At 45.9% G+C, this 14591-nt stretch overlaps 1 protein-coding gene and 1 long non-coding RNA gene across 7 annotated transcripts in view, besides 2 other annotated features; one reads left to right on the top strand and one right to left on the bottom strand.

The window, feature by feature from the left end:
* NFIL3 (nuclear factor, interleukin 3 regulated) overlaps positions 1-14591 on the top strand; it is a 74453-nt gene that overhangs the window by 46412 nt on the left and 13450 nt on the right. The window contains exon 1 of one of the 6 annotated variants that reach the window (XM_017014743.2): positions 12026-12383. The exons of 1 other annotated variant lie outside the window; for it this stretch is intronic. The gene's annotated coding sequence lies outside the window, so the exon portion shown is untranslated. Of the gene's footprint in view, positions 1-12025; positions 12384-12459; positions 12826-13253; positions 13447-14591 lie in introns of those variants that run through there. 4 more of the 6 variants (NM_001290000.2, NM_001289999.2, XM_047423426.1 and 1 more) reach the window with 4 other exon arrangements.
* LOC105376146 (synapsin-1) lies at positions 9476-13053 on the bottom strand. Its single transcript, NR_188612.1, has 2 exons — positions 10690-13053; positions 9476-10256 (listed from the first exon to the last, which is right to left on the bottom strand). It is a non-coding gene; the product is annotated as a synapsin-1 (long non-coding RNA).
* Positions 10410-10606: a silencer, noted in NCBI's record as "fragment chr9:94188762-94188958 (GRCh37/hg19 assembly coordinates)". NCBI's record gives its function as "represses an EF-1alpha promoter that drives an FKBP-Casp9 reporter gene in an ReSE screen in HepG2 liver carcinoma cells {active_cell/tissue: HepG2}" and the evidence as "EXISTENCE:reporter gene assay evidence [ECO:0000049][PMID:32094911]".
* Positions 12917-13316: a silencer, noted in NCBI's record as "silent region_20026". NCBI's record gives its function as "represses an Ori minimal core promoter by ATAC-STARR-seq in GM12878 lymphoblastoid cells {active_cell/tissue: GM12878}" and the evidence as "EXISTENCE:reporter gene assay evidence [ECO:0000049][PMID:35858748]".

Genomic DNA, 14591 nt, shown 5'->3' with positions numbered 1-14591 from the left:
AGCGGAAGCATTAGATTCTCATAGGAGTGTGAACTCTACTGGGAACTGCGCATGCGAGGGATCTAGGTTGCGCACTCCTTATGAGAATGTAACTCCTGATGATTCGACACGGAACAGTTTTATCCTGAAACCATCCCCCAAAACCCTTGCACGTGGAAAAATTGTCTTCCACGAAACCGGTCCCTGCTGCCAAAAAAGGTTGGGGACTGCTGATTTAGGGGATAGTGTCAGTAGGAAATTGTAACTGACTATATATGAAGGATGTAGTGAACATTTGTCACTTTATGGCTACTTGGCAGAGGAACCTCTTCCTATTTTGGGTTATAGAGCCTGTCTCCAATCAGAGAAGTTGAAGATCTTCTATTAATTTTCCCAGACTCTTGGTAGCCAGGGTCCTGGCATATGACGTAGGTCCTGCCAATCAGACATACTTAACTCCTCCTTAGCTCCCCACCTTCAACTCTTTGTTGTTGTTGTTGTTGTTGTTGTTGTTGTTGTTGTTGTTGTTGAGGCAGAGTCTTGCTCTGTCGCCCAGGCTGGAGTGCAGTGGCGCCATCTCGACTCACTGCAAGCTCCGCCACCCGGATTCACGCCATTCTCCTGCCTCAGCCTCCGGAGTAGCTGAAACTAAAGGTGCCCGCCACCACGCCCGGCTAATTTTTTGTATTTTTAGTAGAGACGAGGTTTCACCGTGTTAGCCGGGATGGTCTCTATCACCTGACCTCGCGATCCGCCCGCCTTCGGCCTCCCAAAGTGCTGGGATTACAGGCGTGAGCCACCGCGCCCGGCCCCACCTTCAAATCTTAATCAGAAAATGGTAATGTGAAGAAATGGAGATCATGCAGGCTCTTTCCCTGGGGCAGTGCCTGTGAAGGTGGCTGTATCCTGTTTGCAGGAGCTTTCTTTCTGGTAGCAGCATTGGAGGAGTGTGCCATGCAGATGCAGTTTCTCTGTCCTACAGCAGAGACAGCAGTGCCTGCGGGAGATCAATTCTGCAGTTTGATTTGGGGCATAGCTTCCGGCTTTTTAGCCTTCAAACCTGACTTGCCACAGATTCTGTGAGTTGCCTGGAGTTTTTTGGGTTTTTTTGTTTAGTAAATTACTGTTCTGCTCATATTAGCCAAAATCGGTCTGTGTTGCTTGCAACAAAGTACCCTGAATGCTGTAAAAAATTGCTCCCAGATTCTCAGCAAGTTGAGTGAACTATGGGATGTACAAGATGTAACTGAAGGAAGTAAAAATCCAGCTAGTATTAAAGGGAAGAGTTCTGATAGTACCTGGCATGCATAGATGAAATGTTAATTAGATTATAAGCTGTAGGCACATGGAATAAACTGTTCACTGAAAGTCTCAGTAAGGGACCCTGGTTGACCACTGTCACAGAATAGAATGGTAGTCATGAAGACCATGTGGCAAAATCATAGTCCTCACTTCACCAAGGCAGACCTTTCTTCCTACACTCCTCAGTTTCAGGCGCAGGCAGATGTCTCTAAAACTGATTCAGTGCCAAACGGAGCCATCATCCAGCCTCTAGAGGCAGGTGGACTCGGTCAGGCTTCATGAGGACCATGATGAAATGGCACTCAAGTTCCATTTCAACCTCCTTTGAGTGGCCTTTTATGTACCATAGAATTTGAATTCCACATTTACTAGTCTCTCTTGCAACTGGTATTCTGGATGCAAATTAAGATAAAATTTGATGGTGAAAGAGAGGTGAGGCACACTTCCTGTTGAGTTAGCAATTGCTGCAGGCAGGCAAGGTCATAGAGATGTTGGAGTTTTCTGACCAGCAGCTCCAGGGGCCTGATGATTGTATTATTGTATAAGTCAGTTGCAGCAAGCGTTTTTATCACAATTCTCACAACTCTGGGTTCTGATCATTTAGAGGACTGAATATCCAAGGAGGGTGATGCTTCCACTACTTGACATAGCAAATACTTGCTATGCCTAGTGGGGGCAGTGGAGAGAGAGAGAAAGAAAGAGAAAACACACAATTCAGTTATTAGGTACTTTGGGGGAATGCAAAAGAAAACCAGGGAAAGCACAGGGGTGCCTGGAATCATAGAAGACGGCTCATACGGATACTGTTATGTCACCTACAGGCAGCCTTGCCATGGTCCTTGGGCATGTTCATGCTGACCTCCACATTCCCTAGGAAACCCTTTAGAGAAGTGTTTGGCAAACTACAGGCCTATGGCCCAAATCTAAACTGCCACCTATTCTTAATTTTTTTTTTAATTGCGATAGCTTTAAGAGTACAAGCGATTTTTGGTTGTACATGGATGAATTGTATAGTGGTGAAGTCTAGGTGCACTTGATTTTTTTCGAAAATTATTCGTATCCTTTTACTATTTTCCTATTGGATGTTGATTTTCTTGTAAATTTATAAGAGTGCTTAACATATTAAGAATGTTAAACCTTTTTCTAGAATAAAAATGTGAACTATTTTCTCAAATTTTTTGTCTTTTAATTTTAAGGTGTCTTTTATCAAACAAAAGCTGCTTCACGGTTAATTAAATATATTTATCTTTTCTTTTGTAACTTCTGGGTTTCATGTAGACCTGTTCTCCCATATTTTGGTTTTGTACTTTTATGTGTAATTTAACACTTAAATCTTTAATATTACGGGAATATTTTTATGCTTGGAATGAGATGAAGGTCTAGCCAATGATTCCAACATGATGTATTTTCCCTTGGTTAGTAGACACTTAGCATCCATTTTTTTCTACTCCCATGCAATCTGATATCTACTTGGGGAGGCTTGAAAGCTGAAGAAACATGTCTTAGACTTCATGAAGCTGAGGTTCTGGAAGCATATTATGTTCCATTGTTTAGAAGCACTCATGAGAGCCTGTGTTGTGCAGACTGGTCTCAATCTCCTGGTCTCCAGTGATCCTCATGCCTCAGCCTCCCAAAGTGCTTCTATTATACGCATGAGTCACTGTGTCTGGCCTGAGAATCAACTTTTTAAGTTTCTCAAAATATCCATTAGAATTTTGATTAAGAGAGATTATACTCATTGGTTAATTTGGGGGTAATCATCATCTTTATAATACTCTTAATCAGAAATATATTCAATTTTTTTACTTGTTTGGCTTCTGTTAGTCATTATTCAATGTTTAATAGTTTTCTTTATGTAGACTAGCTTGTACCTTTTTGTTAGATGTAGTATTAATTATTTGATAGTTTTTCTTATTGTGAATAAGACACTTTTCCCAAGTATATTTTAAATATATTTAAATATAATATTTTTCAACTAAAATACTAAGAGCTAACATTTATTAAACACTGCCTAGGCACCAGATATGTTATTTATGTTATGCTTCACATGTTATTCAGTCACAAATGAAAATATTGTTCACAAAATACTCATCTAACAATGACTTAAACAAATCGAGGTTTGTGTTTCTCATGTTCAAGAAGCCCAGGAGTAGGTAAACAGGTGCTGATATTGACGCTTCCCTCATGGTCAAATGGGTGCTATAGTTCTAGCATCATGTCCATTTTTAAGGCAGGAGAAAAGGAAAATAGGGGCACCTGCAACTTCTTATTATGCCCGTTTGGCCAGAATGATGTCAGTTAGCCACCCCTGCCATCAAGGAAGTCTGAAAGTATTTGATACTTGCAAATCCCAGAGTAAATAAAGACTGGATGAATAAGCTTGTAAGTAGATCTTGTGTGAGTCAAACTGCAGCAATGCTCATTCATAATATCCTCACCATAACCTTCAGAGGGCAGCATGACTACAATCCCAAGTGTGCAGAGGAGGAAACTGAAACATAATGAGTCTCAGCAATTTGCCGATAGTCACAGCAATAAATGTAGAATGTGTGCTTTTAGCCATTCTATTACAAATGATTCCCATATGCAGGAAAATTTTGTTTTTAAATATTAACATCTTGTCCAGCTACATTACTGAATTCTTCTATTTTTGCATAAGCTTTAGTTTTGCTACATAAGTAAATGAACATATGGAATTATAACTTCCTTGTAATACTGATAATTCTTTTTTTTCCTGTCTCATTGCAATGGCTAAGACCTTCAAAATGATGTCAAATAATAATGAGTTTCCTGTTTATTTTCCTACTTAAATAGGAAGGACTTTATTGTTTCACCATTAAATGATTAAATTTACACTGAAAAAGAATGCTTTTCAGATATTCAGTAGTAAAGATAAATATTTTTCAGTAACAAGAAAGTTTTCTTTCCTAGTCTGCAGTTCAAAATGTTTTCCTTTTATCACATCAAAATAGCTATACTTCTGACTACTCTCCAGCTACTTTAGCAATATATATCATACTCCAAAAGAGTACTAGAAAAGACCTCCCTAAGACCTTCTCACACTAATGCTTTACAAATCAACCTCCCATTTCTTTTCAGCTCTGCCTTTGCACAGCAGAATTAAGATCTGGCAAAAAAAAACCTAAACAACTTCACTGGAATATATAGGTTCTTATGTGTCAGCAACAGTTTTCATAATACTGCAAAAGATAAGAAAATGGACAATTTCTCTGCAAGACTGAGAGTCATCTTTCTCTGCTACTTTTCGTGAGGGACATGTTTTCAGGAAACCTATTTTTGGGACTATTGCTGCACTTTGAATCTTTGACAGGTTCCGAAAGAAATTGGCTGGGCCTGAGTTTCCCAGAAACCGGAGCCTGAATCAAATCTCCTGTGCTAAGCCTTTCTTGGGAGGTACAATTCTAGAACTGCAAGAGTAGGAGGAAAAGAAGAGGAGACAGAGAAATAGGGGAAGTACATTTATAAGGACAAGGTACACTACCAGGTTGACTACAGTGCCCCAAGACAGCACAGACTGTGGCTGGGATTTGGGACATCATGCCACTAAACATTGTAGAGAGGAGGTATTTATCTACTGGTTCCATCCCATCTCCTGTCACTCATGGCTCAGAACTAACCTGACAGTGTGCCAACTACCCTACATCATGGGGTTGTGTCACCTGCCCCGGTAGCCCCTGGGAAAGACAGGTTCCTGGCCCTCTGTGCTTGTGTGAGTTCCTAAGTGATGGGAGGTGCCCATCTGTAAGTTCTGTCCATCTTACTTGCAGCAGCAGGAAAGCATTGGGAACCCAGGAAGACCCAAGTTAGCTGCTGGTGGTAGAAGAGGGAAAGGCGTCCAAGACAAAGCCTGTCCAGTAGCAAGCAAGAGAGGCTTGGGACAGGTGAGGCAAAGGGGATCCAGGAAGGAGACACACTGGGACTTGCAGAGAGGTCATTTTTACAAAGGAAAGTGGTGTTTTACTTATGCATTAGGGGGAAAGTCTTGTGTGGCCTGGGTCATTGAGCAGCACAAGTCCTGCACTGGGAACCATCCCAGACAGCCAGGAGCAGGAACAGAAGCAAAAGGAACTCTGGAGCAGCATAGCCCAAGTACAGACACTCCCTGAAGGCCAAAGTCACGTCGGCTTCCACTGTGGTTAAACTGTTCAAGTCAAATTCCACTTGCTTCTAGTCTCCAGCTGGCTTTCTCTCGTGGGATGAATACACACCCTTTGTAATAGCACAGGAGAGCATGTGCCAGTGCATCCCTAAGCTCAGGCTCTGTTCCCGTGACACCTTTCCCCTCTCCACGGAATGGTAGAAGGATGAAACATCTTAATATATGTGATGCGCCCAAGACGGTGTGTGCATGCTGTGGTGTTTGAGCAGTATTTGTTATTATTCTTACTGTGTAGAGGAACTGAAGCATATATAGCATATGTAAAGTACTATTGTGCTGTTTCTCAGATGAAGAAACTGAGGCATCAAGGTTTCACGTGACTTACCCATGGCCACCCAGCTCTAGAGTCCAGGCTTTGAACCATTTCCCTACACTAATTCTTAATGTGTGACATTTGGGGGAAAAAAAGCATTTAAAACAATGTGTTTTAAATGCTTGAATAACGTACTGCCTGAATAACGTACTGGTTGGTTTTGCTACTCCAGGTCCCCTAGGCCTGGGCCTGGTCTACATTTCCACACTGCTCTCCCATGCCGACTTTGCAAAACCTGGGTTTCCATCAAGCTCTCTGCCAGGACTTGTCACTCCCCAAGGTTCCCTTGGTCACCAACCACACTGGCTTTGCTAGGCCTGGCTTTATGTGGTACTCTTTTGAGGCATGATTCCTGCCTGTAGAATACCCATACATCTTTAAGACTTTGGTCATAATCCCAGCACTTGGGAGGCTGAGGTAGGAGGATCACTTGAGGCCAGGAGTTTGAGACTAGCCTGAGCAACATAGTGAGATCCTGCCTCTACAAAATGTTTTTTAATTAGCCTGGTGTGTTGGCATGCACCTGTAGTGCTAGCTGCTTGGGAGGCTGAGGCAGGAGGATTGCTTGAGCTCAGGAGGTCAAGGCTGCAGTGAGCTATGATCATGCCACTGCACTCCAGCCTGGGCAACAGAGCAAGACCCTGTACCAAACATTTTTTTTAATAAAAAAGAAAAACTTTGATTAAATTATACCCTCTTTCAGGAAGTACTTCTGCCTCTGCTTCAATGGAATGTGGGTCTCCTCTCCTTCAAGCCCCTCTTGGTACACAGTCTGGTCTTTCCAGTGACAGTTACCACACCGCGACAGTATTCGAGTTATGCTTTTAACCCACCATCCTCATCTTCCCATTAACCTCTAAGGGCCTGGCTTAGTTTCTGGCCCCTGCTAAGTAGTCAGTAAACATGTACCTTAAGTGAGGGAGTGAGTGAATGAGCGCCAAGTCTACAGCAGGCATGGGACATCACTCAACTGTTCAAGGGATGCCTGGCACCCAGCAGGTGCTCCATAAATGGAAGAATGAATGAATTCTAATCCCCATCCACCTCTGTTATTCTTTCTTGTAGATGTACATGCTCACTTGTTCATCTGAATTGAATAGGATCCTGGCAGCGTAACAAGATTTATTATGTATATGTAATTAATATGGACACGCACACACATACGCATGCACAGGCACAAGTATTTGGTTGATGATACTATTTTTCTGATGTATGTTGATTCTTTTTTGGGTTAATAATAATAGCTAACACTTGCTAATATATCAGGCACTTTCCTAATCAGTTAATAGGTACTAATTTTATCCTCAGAACAAGTTGAGATTGATACTATAATTATAAATGGTTGTCAAAAGGTGAAAGTGAGGCACACAGCAGACGAGAAAAGTAAGTTGCCCACAGCCACAGAGTTCCTGAGTGGCTGTGGGCAAGCTGGGATGTGGACACGGGCCTCTGTATCTGGGTCTTCAGCACTGGGCTCTACTGCCTGCAATTCCTGGTGACTGCCCGAGAGCTGGCTCTTTTATCATCCTGCCAGTATGCGGACTCACAAAATCCTCCACAGACCTACATGCACCGCCTGAGAGCAGCATCACACAGCAGCAGCTGAAAACACAATGGCACCTGAATCTTGAGCACTTCTGAAAGTTTCTCAGAAGACCAGAAATGCGGTCAAGCACCCAATTTCCGGACTTCTTAAGTGCATTTACCAAACGGAGAGCATTCACTTTAATCTCTTGCTGAAACAAACGACTCCAGAAGACAACTTTTGTCTCTGGAGTGACAAAAGTTGGTGGGCAACTCAACAAGGTAATTTTCTCTTGTCCATGTTACAATTAGGCCAAGGGAAGGTTATGAATGAGCCAGTGCTTGCCATAGCTGCTTTGCTGCAAATGCCACATTTGCAGTTTTTCTTTTCTGCAATATATGCTGGTGGCATGTTAGTCAACCCATGCTAATGAGAGAAGGAACGTGGCCAACCATCTGGTTGGCTCCCTCGGGTTTCAGATGAAGGAATGGACATTCAGAGAGGTGAAATGATCCCCTTGGTGAGTATGGGGTACAGAATGCACCAGAATTTCAGCTTCTGAGTTGCAGCTGTGTAGCTCTTTCCAGTAAACTATCCTGTGCATGACTTCACAGAAATGTTTAGATAAGCTTTACTTCGTTGATTTGAACTGGATTGCAATGTGGACCTGTCTTGTCTTATTCTTCATGAAATGATTTTTGTTAGAACATATTTCACAATTTTCTATTTCATATACTCATAGCCCTGCTAGCTGTGTTCCAGTTGCTGGCTGAGTGCTGCCACAATGCTTGCTCCATCGCCAAGATTTTGCAATGAACACGATTAGCTGCTCCCACAGTCTTGACCATTTTTAGTGTATTCTCCTTTTTCCTACCCACCTTTTTTTGTTAATGTCCCTTATTTTGGCACTCTTACTCACATATACCATTTAATCTGAATGAATAAAAATGCTTACTGAAATGTGTGCCATCTGTGGTGGCTGAATTTAAAGACATGTTTCAGTTTTTGTAATAGTGTACTTGCAACATTTTCTCTTCTTTGCAAAATCACCTCTTTCTGGTCTTTTCCTGGGTCCTTTGGAAATGCTTTCAAATGTATTCAGACCATCAGCTGATTTTGTCTGGGGAAATCATGTCGTTGGTGTAGAGATCTAATTTCTTTCTTAGCTTGAGCAAGAGCTGCTTAATAGGAAACATTTTGGCTTCCCATACTTTAAAGCCATCGCTTCTACAGGGAATGTTATGTGACCATCTTCTATTACCCAATTTCCCACAAAAGCTAGTTTTTGAAAAAGAAGGCCAAGCATGCTAATAGAACTCCTGCTAATGGAGCCACATGGCAAAGTTAGGGGACCGAGAGGCAGAGGCTGGAAGACAGTTGAAATCTTAAAAACTATAACGTCTAGGTTGTGGCTGGGATAGGTAGGTGGCAAGAGCAAAGAGAAAAGTGGATGTTTGGGGGAATGAAGGAATCCCAGGAAGTAATGATCTGAATGACTGGAGAAAGGCCAAAGGAAAAAACTAAGAATAATAGAGTAAATCAAGATAACTAAATTTAAAAAGAAAAAAGGTCAACAAAGGTAGAAAAACTACAAGAAAAGGCAAAGCGGAAGAGGAAGACAGAGGTGAAAGATTAAAAATGGCATGAATAGCAGAAATAAAAGTGCATGAGTGGTGGAAAGAAATATCATTCCAGGAAGTTTCTGCCTCAACAGTCAATGACTCATTGCATCAAAGCCAAAATCCCAGCAAAAAGCACACACTGATGGGCGTGGGGAGGAGAACCTCACTAAGGCTACCATGCTAGCTCACATCTTAAAGCCTCCACTTGAAAACAAAACAGGTCTGGTGCTGTGACTCACACCTGTAATTCCAGCACTTTGGGAGGCCAAGGTGGGAGGATTGCTTGAGCCCAGGAGTTTGAGACCAGCCTGGGCAACATAGAGAGACACTGACTCTAACAAAAAAAAAATTAAAAAATTAGCCAGGCATGGTAGTGTGCACCTGTAATCCCAGCTACTTGGAAGGCTGAGGTTGGAGGTTTGCTTGAGCCTGGGGGGGTCAAGGCTGCAGTGAGCCGTGATCACTCCACTGCCCTCCAGTGTGGGCAAGAGAGCAAGACCCTGTCTCAAAAACAAAAACAACAACAACAACAACAACAACAACAAAAACGGTATGCTATGGATTCCCAGAAACTGAACTTCTGTTCCTGGAGTTTAATAAAAAGACACAAGGTGGTCCATAAACATACTACAGTGGAAAGAAAATGGTCCTGGCACACAGGAGCCCTGATGCAGGCTGCCGGCCACCAGACCAGACAGGAGGTCACCAAAGGGCTTTTAGTTATCGAAGTTTTTTCTACAAAGAAATCCATAAGTCCAATGCACAAAACAGATAGGGTAGAGCTGCCCAATTTGGTTGCCAGGTAGGCAGCCTGCTTTTTAGCCACTGAGTCCCCCGTCTCCACCCCCTGTTCCCAGGACATCTCTGTAGAACTCAGAGGACTCAGACTGTCCAGCCTCTGGGTAGGTAAGTCCTGCAGTCTTTTATTTTTTAATGAATTGCTTGCCTAAACTGAAAATCAGGATATTTTACCAAAAAAAAGAAAGTCAACTTTCTTTTGAATAATTGGAGCTGTGGGCTGTGCAGTCTTTTATTTTTTAATGAATTGCTTGCCTAACCTGAAAATCAGGATATTTTACCAAAAAAAAAAAAGTCAACGTTCTTTTGAGTAATTGGAGCTGTGGGCTCCTGGAAACAGCAATTGATGAGAGAGCTGAAAAACAGTCTTCTTCAGTGGGTCACTTTCTTTTTGCCACAGTCCACGTGTGGCTAACGTCCTGAATTCTCATTATCCATCTGACTTTACAGTTACTCCGGCCTAGTGAGGTCCACTGTAAAATCCCTGGGATATATATATGGCCTCTTGGGGATGTTCCAGCTCAAGACATTCTGCAGCTGTAGAAAAATTATTACTATATTAAATTAAGTTGTTACTAAATTACAAATTCCTATTAATTCCCATTTTAGTAAGGAGAAGTCACTGTTTTAGTCATTCTGTTCTCAAGCTATAGCTCTTATATTTGCTTAGTCAGAAACCATGTTGGCAGTATAATAAAATGAATTAGAATGTGGTTGATTGTCTTCTGCTGGTAGTTCTCATCCCTGTCCAGGCACCTCCTCCCTTGCCCCTGCCCTCAATCCACCCCTAGCACTGAGAGGTTGCTGAGAGCAAGAACCCCTTCCTCCTCCTCCTGAGAACCTTACAGCCCAGCTCCACCATCAGGCACATGCTGATGTCTTCCTAGAAGCCTCCCCACCCTGGTTAATTTGTTTCAAATATCTTAGGTTTTTATGCTCCATTTACTCGAGTTAATCTGCAAATACTTACCTACTCTGTGAATGTTCTAGGATATAATATTAGATACATCATCACTTCGGCCCTGGGGACAGATCCTTCATCCTGTTGTTTAGTGGTGTCCTAATCACCAGGAGGAGCTAAAGAGTTGTTTTCTAAGCTGGTATCTCAGATACCTTTCACACTTCCTCTGATTTCCAAGTTAGATGGTAACAATGAATGATGCACAGATATAATACATACACAATCTAAAATACTCCAAGTAAATATAGGAGCATTCGATTTCAAAATTCAGCATAAAGAATAAGTTTCCAGGTTGAGAGAACTCCTCCAGCATCACTGCCTGGGGTGGCTCCAGGCACGTTCTTTACCTGTCTTGAAGGTCGAGTTGTCTTTAAAGAAAGACATTTACTACAACGGCTTTGAAATTCCATGAAATTATTCAAAATGCAGAACAAGGTCAGAACACGTGAAGGGGAGGGTAGATTATGCAGGACAGCCCTGGATTTCTAGACAATAGCTGCATTTCTGACCCCAAAAAGGCAACTAATATGGATATGATTTTGATTTCATCTAAGAGAGGTTCTCAAAGCTACAAATAAGCATTGTAAGGTTTGGGCAAAAAGGAAACTATCAGTAAATTTGAGAAAAGTGGCCAGGCACAGTGGCATGCGCCTGTAATTCCACTACCAGGGAGGCTGTGGCCGGAGGATCCTTTGAGCCCAGGAGTTCCAGGCCAACCTGGACAACATAGTAAGACCACATCTTGAATTATTATATATGTATGAGAAAAGTGGAAATTATAAACTAAAATCAGGATTTGTTCTCATGAAGGTAGTCAAGTTTGGAAAATGTGTAGTGGAGGGGATGTGGTTCTTGCATTAGTCAGCACCGGGAAGATGGTGTCGGGGAACACGCTAAGCCCATATTGTACGTCTGAGTTTTCAGAGCCTTGTCAGCAGAGCTGTACTACCAGATAAATCACGAACAAGAGTGCGTTCAAAACCACAACGCTGCCCTGGAAGGCTTTCCAAAAACTCAACTGATAGGTGATAAAAATTTTTTAAATATGACTTGCGTTATTATGATATTAACTGTGCAAGAAGGGGAAAGGTAGAAAAGACAATCTTGGCGAGTAGATAGATCTGCTGCTCATGGCAGACACTAGGGATGGTACCTGGGTGTTCACTCTGCTCTTCTCTTTACTTTGGTTTTTGCTTTTTAAAAACGAAAGGAGCAAAAAGAAGTGGAAAGTCGTGGAGGCACTCGGCCCAGCCCCCACGTAGTTCAAGGAGACCAGGAGGGAGCTGGCTGGTGGAGGTCCTGCCCACCTGCCACACTCCGTATTTGGGCAAGCCTGTGAGTCACTGTCGGGAACATGGCTCCCTTCGCCAAGGCCAGCACTGACCACTATCCGTGTATCGGTAAACGCAGGGAGTGTGCCACGTGCCTTGACAGTCTAGCGCGACGACTTAAGAAGTCGCGGCTAGGTGCTCTTTTTTCCATTTTTTTACGTCTCTTCCGTAGCCCGGGAATTTGGGAGAGAAGACTACCGTATCCAGTTAGACGCAGAAATAACACTAAGCAGCTATCAGCTCAAAATCACAGGAAGAGATCCCGCGCGGTCGTCTCAAGCCCCAGCACCAAACGACAGTGGGCGTCCCAGCGGGGGCACCCGAGCGCGGACCTTCACATCCTCCGAGGAACGCCGCACCCGCGTGGCGGGGGTGGGTAGATGGACCTCAGCGAGCCTCGTTTCCCAGTCGTGTTACGCAACAACTTTGCAGCCGTCATCTTCGCCCTAATTGTGCAGGGGGCGGTGTTTGTGCGTGGAGCTTTCCCTCCCGGCTCCGGGCCGTCGCGGCTCTCGGGAGAGGCGCCGGGACATTTTAATCGCTGCCTCCGCCGCGCAGCCCTGCGCAGCTGCCCGGCCGCGCCAACCCCTTCCCCGCCGCAGCGCGCCCCGAGTGTTGGCAGCTTGCCAGCCGCCACCCCCCGCCTTCCCTCCTGCCCACCCCAAGGTAGAGGGCTCCTCTCGGGAGTGTGCGGGGAAGGGGAGGCCGAGGTCCGGGCCACGCCCGGGTAGCCGCAACCCGCAGTGCTCAGTCGGCAACAGGTAGCCCAGCAGGCTGCGGCTCTCAGGAAGACAAAAAGCGCCTCTGCGAGCAAGTGAGGGTCGCGGGGAGCGCAGAGCCACCGCGGCGACCGGGAGGGTGAAGGGAGCCAAGAGCGGACGGGGCGGTGGGACGGGGGGCTCCCGGGCTCCTCCGCAGGCTCGCTCCGGTCGTGTCGGCCGCGTGGGCCGTTGCGCAACACTCGTTGCGCCGGGAATGGGGCGCCAGCCCTCGCGGGCGCTCGGACGGCGGTGGCCCTGGCCGGGGAGGGACGCGAGCTGGTAGTGGCGCCGCCGCGGAGGGGGAGCTGAGGGCGGGGAGGCGGGGCGGGGCCGCGGAGTGCCCGCCCCGGCCCGCCCCTGCCGGCCGCGGCCATTGGCGGCGGGCCGGGGGCGGGTGCGGGCGCGGCGATTGGGGCCGCGGCCGCCAGTCACGCGGGGCTGGCGGGCGGCGACGTAGCGCGGCGCTCGGAACTGACCTACTAACACACATCTCTCCGCGCGGCCACGGCGCCCGCGGACCCGGCGCGCCCGCCCGCCTCCCGCGCCGCGCCCTCGCCGCCGCCCGCCTCCCGCCGCGGCCCCGGAGGCCCGGCCCGGCCCGAGCCCCGAGCGCCGGCGGCCCGACTCCCGGCCGCCCCTTTCTTTCTCCTCGCCGGCCCGAGAGCAGGAACACGGTAAGCGCTCCGCCCACCGCCGGCCGGGGGCCCGGCGACCGCTCCCAGGGCGCGCTGCGGGCGGGCGGGCGGGCGCGGGGTGCGGGCCGCGCTGTGTGCGGGGTCGGGCTGTAAGCTGGGCTCGCCAGCGGCGGCGAGTGCGCGCGGGGCATTCATTACATAAACTTTTGCTGCCTTGTCAGGATGGGACTCGCCACCTTAAGGTGGCTGCTTTGATTGCAGCGCCTTCGCGCCGGCACGTAGTCCTGGCTGGTTTGCGCTCTCCCCCCGCTGCTGTTGCATAATGTCTCCTGATTTCAGGAAAATTGATGTTTTGGTAAAGAAGAGCGCCAGGCAGGCTGAGCCCTCTCCGAGCGGGAAGATGCTCTTTCCTCTCTAGTGTCTTTCTTTCTCGTTCCTTCTCTGGGGCTGGCGGCGTAGGGGGGAGAGGAATGGGGGGTTGAGGAATGGGGAATAGTCTTAATTTGCTTGGTGAGAAAAAGGGTTGGTAGCGTGAACGGTGACGGCATTCGGAGAATGCCTGCGCGGCGTTTGTTTGTGTCAGGGGCTGTGTCTGCACAGACGTTTTCCACCCTGTTTGTCGTCAGCGTGTTTTACAAGCCCTCGGGAAGGTTGTGGGATTTGTCCTTTCATACATTGCATAATCTGCCCACGGTGAAATGTTGGCAAGAATTGCGGGCTGATGTGGGAATATGCGCGTATGTGTGCAATGATTTGGTAATTGAGGCGCAGCGTTGGATATTAGATCGTTATTTACGTCTATATTACGTCCCAAATAAACAGGTTTTAAAACGATACTACAAAACCTAAAAGCAAGAATTGCTCGCATTGAATTCTGATCTTGGGTACTACTGGGGTTCGCCCTTTCAATGTTCTCAGCTGTTATTTTTAAATCTGGGACGAACCATTGTGACGTTTACCTCCCCACCTTCCTAATTTTAATGCATTCCATTCGATCAGCCCTTTTTCTCACCTTATTGTCATTGCTTTTTCAGACACGACAAGACAAATCACATAATAGTTTCCTGGAAATGTTGCATTATGTAACTGCCGAATTTGCTGGCAGTGAGCATAGAGAGAGGGAGCTAATTACGTGATTTTATAATCTTGCTACAAAGAAAGTAGGACAGTCTCAGCCTTTAAGA

Source organism: Homo sapiens, chromosome 9 (genome assembly GCF_000001405.40).
Source record: "Homo sapiens chromosome 9, GRCh38.p14 Primary Assembly".
NCBI lineage: Eukaryota > Metazoa > Chordata > Mammalia > Primates > Hominidae > Homo > Homo sapiens.
The sequence above is the reverse complement of the archived record's forward strand: the minus strand, read 5'-3'. Positions and strand labels throughout refer to the sequence as shown.